The sequence below is a fragment of the Homo sapiens genome, chromosome 7 (genome assembly GCF_000001405.40).
Source record: "Homo sapiens chromosome 7, GRCh38.p14 Primary Assembly".
NCBI classification, from domain to species: Eukaryota; Metazoa; Chordata; class Mammalia; order Primates; family Hominidae; genus Homo; species Homo sapiens.
The window spans coordinates 88,106,368-88,118,916 of record NC_000007.14 but is presented as its reverse complement, the minus strand read 5'-3'; the positions used below and the strand labels follow the sequence as shown (position 1 = coordinate 88,118,916).

General features: G+C 38.3%; 1 protein-coding gene across 32 annotated transcripts in view, besides 1 other annotated feature; it reads right to left on the bottom strand.

Moving 5' to 3' along the window:
• The window catches only part of ADAM22 (ADAM metallopeptidase domain 22), a 268,639-nt gene that overhangs the window by 83,973 nt on the left and 172,117 nt on the right, over positions 1-12,549 (bottom strand). For all 32 annotated transcript variants that reach the window (XM_017012330.3, NM_001391975.1, XM_017012335.3 and 29 more), the window contains 3 exons: positions 10,659-10,741; positions 4,270-4,333; positions 2,103-2,172 (listed from right to left, as the gene is read on the bottom strand). In XM_017012330.3, the coding sequence (XP_016867819.1) occupies positions 2,103-2,172; positions 4,270-4,333; positions 10,659-10,741 (217 nt within the window). The remainder of the gene's footprint in view (positions 1-2,102; positions 2,173-4,269; positions 4,334-10,658; positions 10,742-12,549) is intronic.
• Positions 3,307-3,486: an enhancer, noted in NCBI's record as "active region_26240". NCBI's record gives its function as "activates an Ori minimal core promoter by ATAC-STARR-seq in GM12878 lymphoblastoid cells {active_cell/tissue: GM12878}" and the evidence as "EXISTENCE:reporter gene assay evidence [ECO:0000049][PMID:35858748]".

Genomic DNA, 12,549 nt, shown 5'->3' with positions numbered 1-12,549 from the left:
ATTTGTCCATTTCTTGTTTTCTTCTCATTTATCACAGTAAATCATAAGTAATGTTGGGAGACAAACTCTCTCAAAATTGACAGTGCCAACTTCTGATGAGAAAAGAAAACTAGAAACTGATTGAAACAGACCTGAGTTTTTAAAGAATGTGTCTAAAAATCATTTTAATAACAGCAAAACTGCCAAGTCACCATCAAAGTTTCTGCTGGAAAGAAACCCTGAATGATTTTCTCAAAAAAAAAAAAGATATATATATATATAGATAGATAGATAGATATATAAGGTTATATCCTAGCAAGCCTACAGTCAAGTCTTTAGGGAAAAATCTTTATTTATTACTTTAAATATTAATTAATGTTGACTGCTCCCAGTAATACCCATTAAATTATAGCTTTATTCCCACACAGCTAGTCATGACTTATTTTCTTATCAGAATAGGGATTTTAAAAAGTTTTATAAGATCACTGAAAGAACAGTCTAAAAAGTCTGTGAGAGGTAAGAGCATCTATATTCCCATTTGAAGATTTTTCAAAATAGTAAATTCTATTAAATCTTCTATCCCTCTGGCAGCAGGAGAGAAGGGGAGAGAATGTTCATTTCTCTTTAGGAAAATTACAGGAGGACAAGGAGTTACAAACTTCATTTAGAGAGAAAGGAACATTAGGAAACATTTATTTTCTGATGAAGAGACAATGTAAACTTCTAAGTGATTATCTAAGCATTAGTTTAGGATTACTCCGTTTCCCTCTGTGCTTCTCTACCATAGTGTCATAATTCAAAACTCAACTTTACCCCTTGCTAGCTGTGGGACCCTGGAAAAGACAAACTAGCTGAGCTCTGTTTCTTCATCTACAAACCGGGAATAACATTAATCTTACAGGGCTGCTGCAAAGATTAAAACGAGATTAAAAATTAAAATAATCAGGCCGGGCACAGTGGCTCACGCCTGTAAACCCAGCACTTTGGGAGGCCGAGGCAGGTGGATCACAAGGTCAGGAGTTCGAGACCAGCCTACCCAATATGGCGAAACCCCTGTCTCTACTAAAAATACAAAAATTAGCCAGGCGTAATGGTGTGTGCCTGTGGTCCCAGCTACTTGGGAGGCTGAGGCAGAAGAATTGCCTGAACCCAGGAGGCGGAGGTTGCAGTGAGCTGAGGTCGCGTCACTGCATTCCAGCCTGGGCGATAGAGCAAGACTTTGTCTCAAAAAAAAAAAAAAAAAATTAAAATAAGGCTCACTAAATAGTGGAGGAAGCATCTCCATACCAGATATCCAGATATCTTCTGAATAAAGATATTCAGTGTGCTGTCTGTCTTCAGAAGAAAACAAATGAGTCCAGCACAGCCAAAGACAAACGCTAACTCACCCTGCATAATCACTGCTCCACTAAGGAGGGCAAAGTATGCATGCACTGCCCTTCCTGTCATGTGAAGACTTGGAAGCGACTCTCAAAGCAACATAGGTTGCTAGGTCCATTTATTCAACCTAAAATAAATTAGCTTACTTTTGAAAATATTTCACTAAATTTGTATTTTTGACATTTGTCTATTTCTTGTTTTCTTCTAACTTATTATAGTAAATCATAAGTAATCTTGGGAGACAAACACTCTTAAAATTAACCTAGATCCATTTAGGTATAGATGAGAAGAAATGACTAATTTCACAAATAACACATAATGATAATAAAAGTTAACCCATAATAGTTCTTTCTTAAAATGCTAGAGCAAAAAAGAGACAAGGAAAACAATAAATAGGGAAATGATTAAGAGTTCATCCCTATGTTTACAAGACCAGTATTTCACAAAGAGTGAATTTGTATGTACTTTGTCTCACAGACCAATTCTTGCTCTAATCTTGTTTCTCCTTTAGTGCCTTATTTTTAATTTTAAAATTTTTTAAAGTTTTCCTCCACATCTTTCCAAACTCATCTGTGAGGACAGTTTGCATTTTATTCTCCCTCTTGACGTGACTTGGCTCTCCCTCTAAAAATGTCAAAAGCAGATGTGGGCTAATGATATTCCAAATATAGATTAGTTCTAAGGCATTAAATAAATTACTGAAGTTGTCTTTTAGATAAAAAGTCACTATATGAACATCATACCAGATGGAAGATCATCCAAGGAAAATTCAAACAGTCTGGATTTGTAAACTGAATGAAAATGGAAATCCTCCTGAAATGACACAAGCAACAGTGATTAAGCATGTACAACAGGATTATCTCCAGCCTTAGGCAAACATAGCTGGAGACCCTTAAAAGAACCACAGCTTGCCTATGCATTCTCCTGGGTTTAGAGAGGTGATGAACCATTGCCCAACCCCTCCTATTCTCTCCTGTATTCTCTCAGCACCAGAGCAACATCCAATGAGAAGAAAAATGCCTTCACAGAGAAGCCAAAGCCTACAGTAATGGAAAACAAATGAATGAATCTATTCCCCCAAGGACAAATAAGACATTTGGCAAAATGACTTAATGTTTTTTTATTACTGATTCCTTTCACGGATCCCTGCACCCTTTTAAAAGTCAGAGAGCTTTGGTAGGCAGACTACAGAGCTAACAATCTTCATAGTATTGGGGAGCAGGATGCCTGGTATAAGTAAATGTCCAAAGTGGACCCTGTTCTGAAATTCAAGTGTCATACAAGCTATATGAAAAAGCAAGAGATAAAAAGTCACATTTTTCTTCTAAAAAGTTAATAAACACTCAAATATAATTTCATCTGGCTTCATCCAATTACTAAAAAAAAAAATTAGAATGTCATAGTCCGGTTTCATATTATCTTAAAAAAATCATACTGTCAAGCAAAGTGACAAGACAGGCAGCAGTGGGTACCCATAAAATAATACACAATACAGAGAATTTCCCAAACAAGATGGTTTATGGGTGACAAAGCCATGCATGTTTCTTGGAAGAATTTGCCTCTCTGCTTAAGCAATGTTGTGTAATACGAGGAAGAACATTTGTATGTACAGAGCTAGAATGAAAGTGTATTATGTTTCTGTGTAGTCTATAATATTAATTCAACTTCTTCTAATTTGTGGGAAATGAATGTTTCAGCTAAAGTGAGAGACAGGATTAAGATGACTCAGGTTTCTCTAAACTTCATCAGCATAGAGCCTTAAAAGCAATAGACAATAGAGAAAAATCTGGAATCTAGAAAAGAGAGGAGGGGTGAAAAATCACAGCTCTGTGGATTTGATTTGTTGTGGACTGAATGTGTGTGTGTCCCCAGACTTCTCATATTGAGGCCCTGGCACCCAGGGTAATTTTGTCTGGAGATAAGGCCTGTGAGGAAGTGATAAATGTTAAATGAGGTCATAAGGGTGAGATCCTTATTCAGTATAGCTGGTACCCTTATAACAAGTGGAGACAACCAGAGTTCTCTCTCTCTCTCTCTGCCATGTGAGAACACAGTGAGAAGGCAGCCATCTGCAACTCAAGCAAAGAGCCCTCACCAGATGTCAACCCTGATGGCACCTTGGACTTTCAGTGCCCAGAACTGAGATAAAGTTTCTGTTGTTTAAGCCACCCAGTCTACAGTATTTTGTTATGGTAGCCAAGTCAAACTAAGACAGATCATAACACATTAGGGTTGAGATGGAAATAGAGATTTCAGAACACCTCAAAGGGAAAGTATTATATTTCCAATATAAAAGAGAAAGAAACAAAAGAAATTTTTTGTTTGTTTGTTTGTTTGTTTTGGAGACGGAGTCTCATTCTGTCACCCAGGCTGGAGCGCAGTGGCAGGAGGTTCAAGCAATACTTCTGCCTTAACTTCCCAAGTAGCTGGGATTACAGGCGCATGCCACCACACCTGGCTAATTTTTGTATTTTAGTAGAGACGGGGTTTCACCAAGTTGGCCAGGCTGGTCTCTAACTCCTGACCTCATGCCCACCTCTGCCTCCAATAGTGCTGGGATTACAGGCATGAGCCACCACACCTGGCAAGAAATTTTTTAAAAAACACTTGTGGTTTTGACTTACTCAATATTTAGTTTAAAATATACAGACAGTCCCCAACATACATGTTTTTGACTTTATGATGCATTTATCAGGGTATTAAATACGTTTTTTACTTATAATATTTTAACTTATGATAGGTTTATCAGGACATAGACCCATCATAAGTTGAGGAGCATCTGTACATATGTTTACTATCTTAACCCTAAAAAATATAAAAATGAAATAAAGTAGAGATAAAAAAAGGAGAGGAAAAAAGCTCTCAGCATAAACATTTCCATTTGCCACAACAAACAGAAGGAGCACTTACTTGAGTAGTGTCATTTTCTTCTGGCTCAATGAGATATGTGTGGTTCCCGTCATAGAACATCCCACTGCCAACGACAAAAAAATAATTAGGCATGGCCATCGACTCTCATCCCAGAACAAGATCATTTTAAAATCAGCAGCAGCCAGAGGGCCCATTTGCTTCTCAATGCCCATTTCCCAGTCCCATCCATCACCTCCAGACACACCACACACACCACTGAGAGGGAAGGCCCCTCCTTCTGATTCCTTATAGGTAGAGTCACCTCATCCTCACCTGACCCCATGCTCAGGATTGCCATGCTCTAGCTGTTGCCCATCACTTCTTCCTCTAACATAGAATTCCAAGATTTTCATATGCAAAAAGTCATCTGGAGAGCTAGTAAAAACGCAGCTCTTTCAGGACTCTCCTCAGATTTATGGACTGGAACCCAGGAAATTGCATTTTAAATAAGCTCCAGGTGATCCTGATGCAGGTTTTCAGGGACTATACTGAGAACGCCCGACCTACCATAAACATGGAAGATGCTCTAGTAACAAGAGCTAACACATTTGAACAACTTGCCACAAGCTAAATACTTTACACTCATTTAATCTTTTCCACAAATCTACAAGAGAAGTACAACGACTATCCTTATTTTATAAGTAAGGAAACTGAAACCCAAAGAGATAAAGTAACTTGCCAAATTATTTAACCAGTAAGAGCAGAAATAGGAACAGAGCCCAGACAGATGGGACCACGAACTGCCCATTTGCAACCTGCTACCTACCTCCATTCATGCATTCCTTCATTCAATCAGCGTGTTTACAGAGCACCTACAATGCACTGTTCTAGGTGCTGGGGATACAATAGCAAACAAAACAGACCAATTCTCTGTCCTTGTGGTGCTCATAAGTATTCTAGGACTTACTATATATATATATATATATATATATATATATATATATTTATTTATTTATTTATAATATATATATTATATATATATATACACACACACATACACATACATATGACAGTGATAAGTTCTAGGGAAGAAAATAATCAGGTGAAGGGCAATAAATGGTGCCAGAGGGTCTTGGGGGCCATACTAGGTGGGCACTTCCTAGGGCCTTGGCTTTTACTCTAAGAGAGATGAAGAGCCACTGCAAAGTTCTAAGCAGATGGGAAATACAATCTTTCTTAAGTTTTATAATGATCATGCCAGATACTATGTTACAATAATTTTTAGCACAGCAAGGATAGAAGCAGGGAAGTTACTGCAATAATCCAGGCGAAAGAAGATGCTGGCTTAGATCAGAGCAGTAATAGTAGAGGTGGTGAGAACTGGTCAAATTCCAGATATATTTTGAAGGTACAACCAGTAGGATTTACTGATGGATTTGAAACAAAGTACGTAAAACAGAGAAGAGTTAGTGAAGACTCCAAGTTTTGACCTGAGCAACTGGAAAAATGGACATGTCATTTAACAAGATAAAAAAAGAGGTAATGGAGTGAGACCCTGTCTCAAAAAAAAAAAAAAAAAAAAAAAAAAGAGGGCAGGCAGGGGGGATGCAGAAAGAACTTTTCGGGATGGGCCTAGGGAAGCAGGAAGCAGAGGGAAGGATGCAAATCCTTTAAGAGTTCAGTTTTGAGCTGGGCATGGGGCTCACATCTGGAATCCCAACACTTTGGAAGGCCAAGGCGGGGGGAAATCACATGAGGCCAGGAGTTTGAGACCAGCCTGGGCAACGTAGTGAGTGGCAAGACTCTCTCTCTACAAAAAATTTTTAAAAAGTTAGCTGGGCCTGGTGATGCACACACCTGTAGTCCCAGCTACTTGGGAGGCTGAGGTGGGAGGATCACCTGAACCCAAGAGTTCAAGGCTGCAGTGATTGATGATTGTGCCACTGTACTCCAGCCTGGGTGACAGAGCAAGACCCTATATTTCTTTAAAAATAAAAAATTCCATTTTGGACCTCGTAGGCTGGGGGTGGCTACCAGCCATCTGAGAAATCCTCTGGAGAGCACTTCAATATACAAATGGCCTCAGCTCCCACTCAGACAGATTCTGATAGCTGCTGCTTTTAGAAGAACATGATCCTTTTACTGAGATCAGGCCCTTTATGATGTTAAAGAAACTTGTCTTATCATTCAGGCATCTGAGGGTAGCAAAGCTATGAGCTGTAGTAATTTTTTAGTTTTTGGTAGAAATGATTATGTGACAGCCAAGCTCCTAAACATAAACTAGTATTTGTCTTTCATTGAAGATTTAGTGAAATTGGTGAAATTCCATGAGCTATAATTATAATGGCCTCCAAGTTCTGCCTCTATCCAAATTCTTTCATTCCTGCTATAACATCTTCCACATGTCCTCAACTTCTATATACTCACAGAATGATTATTCTCACAGCTGCACTGTTTTCAGCCACATGTACTTTCTGAATTTGGATGACATTCTATTTGGAATTTAAACATAAACAGATGCAGTTTGTAAGACATTACTGACAATATGTGCCCAAGGAGTCAGAGGGGGAGCCTTTCAAAAACGTAGACCAAATATGGCAGGGAGTATCTCTCTACCCTTGCTGAGAACTAGCCATATCCATCCAGAAAGTCATATGAAACCATCATAGTTTGCCAAAATTCACGTGGCAACACCAACAAAGTAGCAAGCAGATTATTTTCTTAAAATAGTACTGAGTGTTATTTATCCTTATACTAGGTTAATGTCCAATGAGAAAGTCATTTTTTTATTGGACTTAAACATCATGTAGGCAATATGAAGACAACAGATTCTGACACTATCTGTATCTCAGAAGACTCTAGATTGCTATATGATAATATGCCATTATTAATTCCTTAATAATGAAAAAATACATGTGTTTTATATGCTTTGAGAACTGAAATATTTTTGTTTTACTTATATAAATCCTAATTTTTATATTGAGTCCATAACAGTATACTTGATAAAAACCTATAGCTAAGACCAAGTCGTCACAGACCAATTGAGCTAAAATTTCAAAAGGTTGTATCAAAATAAGATTTTGAAATGAAAAAGCCATTCTTACAAATTTCCACAAGAGGGCAATAAACTCAAACTTAACTCCGTGCTTTAAGGTTCCCACAGTAACAAGATTTTTGCATTAACACCAAACACACCAAGATCAAAACATTGCCTATTAGTCCTTTGACTCCAAACAAATGTGACCTTGCAGGTTCTTTATGGGAAAGATATACGAATCTGATTTTCCCTTATTTATATTATTGAACTGAATTTAATAAATCAAAAATGAAAAAAAAAACAGTACGCACTTGGTAATTTATAAAGGATGAGTCATGGATGACATAATATATCTCATATCTAAACCACTGTAATTGGGACAACATACATTATTCAATATTTCATAACATCCCCCCAAAACATTTCTTCCAGAAAGTAAAGTCAAGATGAGAAGCAATAATTACTAAACAACAAGATGATACAAGGTTATATTTATCCTATGTGCTCATAAAAGTCTAAGAAAGCCTAAAATGGTCATACACAATTCTGACAATGTTCCAAGACACACGATAGGTTTTCTGTTTATTTTTATTTAGTTTTAAATAAAAACATTCTTAAAAGGAGATATAAAATTTACTTAATTAAAATAACCCTGTAATCTCAGCACTTTGGGAGGCTGAGGTGGGCGGATCACGAGGTCAGGAGTTCGAGACCAACCTGGCCAACATGGCAAAACCCCGTCTCTACTGAAAATACAAAAATTAGATGGGCATGCTGGCAGCCACCTGTAATCCCAGCTACTCAGGAGGCTGAGGCACAAGAATGGCTTGAACCTGGGAGGCGGAGGCTGCAGCGAGCTGAGATCATACCACTGCACTTCAGCCTGTGGGACAGAGTGAGACTCTGACAGAAAAGAATGAACAAAAGAAAGAATGAATGAACGAACGAACAAATGAACGAATGAATGAAAGAACAAAAGAAAAGAAAAAGAAAAGAGAAGAGAAAAGAAAAAAAAGAAAAGAAAAGAAAAAAGAAAAGTGGGCATGGTGGCTCATGCCTGGGATTACAGGGGTGAGCCACCGTGCCCGGCCTAAAAGTTATTTTTCAATCCTTCTTTACAAGACTATAGTAGGATTAGTAACAGGTATCATTCTTAGGTTCTCAGGTCCATTTATAGCCCTTAGAAGGCACAAATATCTTCTCTCTGATTCTCACAACATTGAGTCCATTTGGAAAACCAGAAGGCAGACTGGAACGAGTACTGAGAAAGATGCTGACACTAGGACTTTGGATTGAGATTTTAAGAGAGAGAAAAGGGGAAAAAAAACACTTCATTTTTTACCCCCAATATACACTTGCTGTCACAAATGTGAACAGGTCTCACTGTACTATTCCTAGGTGACAGATGTGCTTGTCTTGAGCTCAGATGTAACAATTTTACTGCTGAAAAGGACTTCAATGTTTCTTTTTCCTAATAAGAAAACAGAGACTGTCTGATATTAAGCATGGATTCCATGTTTGTAAAAACCTCTTTCTTCAAATAATGTATTTAAAGTAAATAAATGTACACCTTTATTCACAGTAGTCTTTTAGCACAAACAAGGAAATGGAAGTCTTCCATGCTCTCAGACACATGGCCTCCTGTCTCTGGTTATTTAACTTACACTTATATTCTTTCCTTTCTGCCTAATATGCTTATTCCCAGATCCTGACCAGAGGTGTCACTCAGGCAGACTAGCTAGATTTTCTGGCCGTGTCCATTAGCTCTCTTTCCTAGATTTAAGATCTGTCAGTGTAACCCTCTCCCTTGGATAGGCTATTCCAACCTATTGCACTCCACTGTCTTCAGGTGGCATGTTTCCAGAGCCCTTAGGTGCCACCTGTTCTTCGGTGACAATGCTTAGCTTGCATTTTTCCCAGTTTTGTTTTTTTTTTTTTCCTCTCTCTCTCTCAAAAAAAAAGCAAATATACCTATCATGTTCCACATCAGGAAATGGGCTAGATTTGGCCTCCTCATGAGACTGTGAGCTCCCAGGACTTGTGTTTCAATCGCCTTAATATTCCTAGGGCTGGCACACAGGAGACACCCAGTAACTGCTTGTTAGATGAAAAGCCACATCTCTAAGATGGTAACAAAAAGGAATTATTTTAAAGTTTCTCAACGAAAATTTAACAAAATTAAAGTGCTGGATTGTTCTGTGCCAAAAAGTAAAACAAACAAGAAGGAAATGAAACGATTTAGTTAAAAGAGAATGCTGAGGAATGACACGGTAGCTTTATAAGGGGTTACAAAACAAGTAAGAAACAACCACCTGTGCATTATCATTATCGACAGGATGGAGGAAGTGGATGTATTCCCATGTTAAACATCAGCAAACATTATTTGATAGAGAAGGTTATGAGAAAGGAAGCAAGGCCTTGAGGAAGGATGAACTTTGTTCCTCGGAGATCTCTGAGAAACGACAGACCCTCCCACAGATTTGCTATGAATTAGGTGGGATTCAGGCTGAAAAAAAGGGGCAAAGACATATGAGCTCTTGAGATCACTAGCAGCCTTTTCTCTTTGTGTAAGGAGTCAGGCGTTTCCATTTACTGAAACTGCTATTATTTGACAAAAATATAAAAACTAATATAAAGAAGGAGTAGGGAAGAATATCAAGGGGCTAAACATCCACAGAAACAGACACCAAAGTTAACCCAAATCACTCCTGTCTGAATTTGGATGAAACTAGAAAAATGCTTCAAATATCATTTTAAGGTATCATTGTGAAATTCAAAAGCCTCTGTTTTCTGCAGCTCTAATTTTATTTAATTTTTTTGAGATGGAGTCTAGCATCTCCTTAAAGTATGCTTATCTTTTTTCTTGACAATATATATTTTTTCTTTCTTTTGCAAAATGTAGGACTTTTCTTTCTTTCTTTCTTTCTTTCTTTATTTTTTTTGAATCAGAGTCTCGCTCTATCCCACAGGCTGGAGTGCAGTGGCATGGTCTTGGCTCACTGCAACCTTCACCTCGCAGGTTCAAGTGATTCTCCTGCCTCAGCCTCCCGAGTAGCTGGGATTACAGGTACCTGCCACCATGCCCGGCTAATTTTTGTATTTTTAGTAGAGACAGGGTTTCACCATGTTGGCTGGGCTGGTCTCGAACTCCTGACCTCAGGTGATCTGCCTGCCTAGACCCCCCCAAAGTGCTGGGATTATAGGCATGAGCCACCACGCCCGACCATTTGCAACCCTAATTTAAAAATCTGCTTGGTTTATAAAATACAAAAGAGAAAAAAAAAATCAGATCCATCACCAATTTAAAGTCATTTCTTGACACAAAATAGGGATATCTACTATAGTGCATTCATAATAAAGAAAATAAATTATTGAAAAAACAAACAGTAAAAATAACTTTTTGAACACTTACTGAAGTCCGTGGCATGTTGACAATGCAACAAATGAGTCAGGGTTTCCTCGGATATGGCCCTGGTAGTAACAGTGCTCTCCTCCCTGAAAACAGAAATAAAGAATGTAAGTCTTTGCATCACAAGGAGAATCAGCTGCTTCATTTCACAGGAGGTTTCTACTCACAATGCACCTCCACATCTAGAACTCTGCATGATATTTCATTATTCAGATTAGCATTATCAAATCTTTTCTAACAGAATTATTCATAAACACTCTGAGTGAGCTGACTCTAAATCAAAATTCAGGGAAATAAAAGTTGACTTGACCTTTCTTTTATGTAGGTGATATTAGAGGAACAAAGAAAGAGATATTGAAATACACATGGGGAGTCAGGCACAGTGTCTCATGTCTACAATTTCAATGCTTTCAGAGGCGAGGCAGGAGCATCACTTAAGGCCAGAAGTTCAAGACCAGCCTAAGCAACATAGCAAGACCCTGTCTCTACAAAAAAAAAAAAAATTGAAATTAGCTGGATGTGGTGGCATGCACCTGTATTCCTAGCCTCTTGGGAGGTTAAGGCAGGAGGATCATTTGAACCCAGGAGTTTGAGGCTGCAGTGAGCTGTGATTGTGCTACTGCACTCCAGCCTGGACAAAAAGAGTGAAATTCTGTCTCAAAAGAAAAAATGACAAAAAAAGAAAAGAAAGGAAATACATATGTGACCCTTGCACCAAAGTTTAATCATCTGCTTTCCTAGTTATAAGAAATTCAACCATGGGCCAGGTGCAGTGGCTCATGCCTCTAATCCCAGCACTTTGGGAGACTGAGGTGGGTGGATCCCTTGAGGTCAGGAGTTCCAAACCAGCCCAGCCAATATGGTGAAACCCTGTCTCTTCTAAAAATACAAAATTAGCTGGATGTGGTAGTGCATGCCTGTAATCCCAGTTACTCGGGAGGCTGAGGCAGGAGAATCGCTTGAACCAGGGAAGTGGAGGTCGCAGTGAGCTGAGATGGCACCACTGTACTCCAGCCTGGGCGATAGAGACCCTGTCTCAAAAAAAAAAAAAAAAAAAAAAAAAGAAATTCAATCATGAGCAGCAGCAAAGCAATACTCTTTTACATAAAACTAAGTAAAAATGAATATAAATCATTTGAGAGTCACTAAATTATATTGATGGAGGAAATGCTTGTTTTTACAGTGTTTATATTGATTACCAGATAAACAGGTTCATACTATTCTTTTCTGAAACCAGCAATGGCTTTAACTGGTAAGCAGTTTATGGGCGGGGTTTTAAATTGTGAAGTTTTTCTTAGCATCCAATTGCATTAATAAAATTCTACTAAGAGAGATTCATTTATTTGGATTCAATGTGCCTGGAAAGGTAAGAAGGTAAATCTTCTGCCATCTTAGGATGTCACCTTTAAATACTTACTACTCAGAGTGCAGTTCAGAGACAAGCAGCATTGACATCACTAGGAGGTTGTTAAAAATGCAGAATCTCAGGCCCCACCCCCAACCTACTGTAGAGAATCTGTATTTTAACAAGTCCCTAGATGATTCATATGCACATTAAAGTTCGAGAAGCTCTTCTCTAAATGACCTCTTTCCATCCTGTCACCAATCTTCTATTTCTTCAGTAGCTGAAAGCTTCTAATTAAATTGACTCACTGAGATACGAAAGAGTGAAACAGAAAGGACCGATAGGATGGGTGGTTTAAAGGCGCAAATGTTACCTACTTCACAGTATGACTTAAGGACTGACACTACTTAAAATGTTCAGTGTTTCACAAATGGAGGAGAGAGAACAGGATGACATGGAGATGTAACAGACTGAAGACATTTTCTTCACCGAAATTCCAAGGAAACCAGCCTAGCCTGAGACTACTGCTCCTTGTGAGATAATCCCACA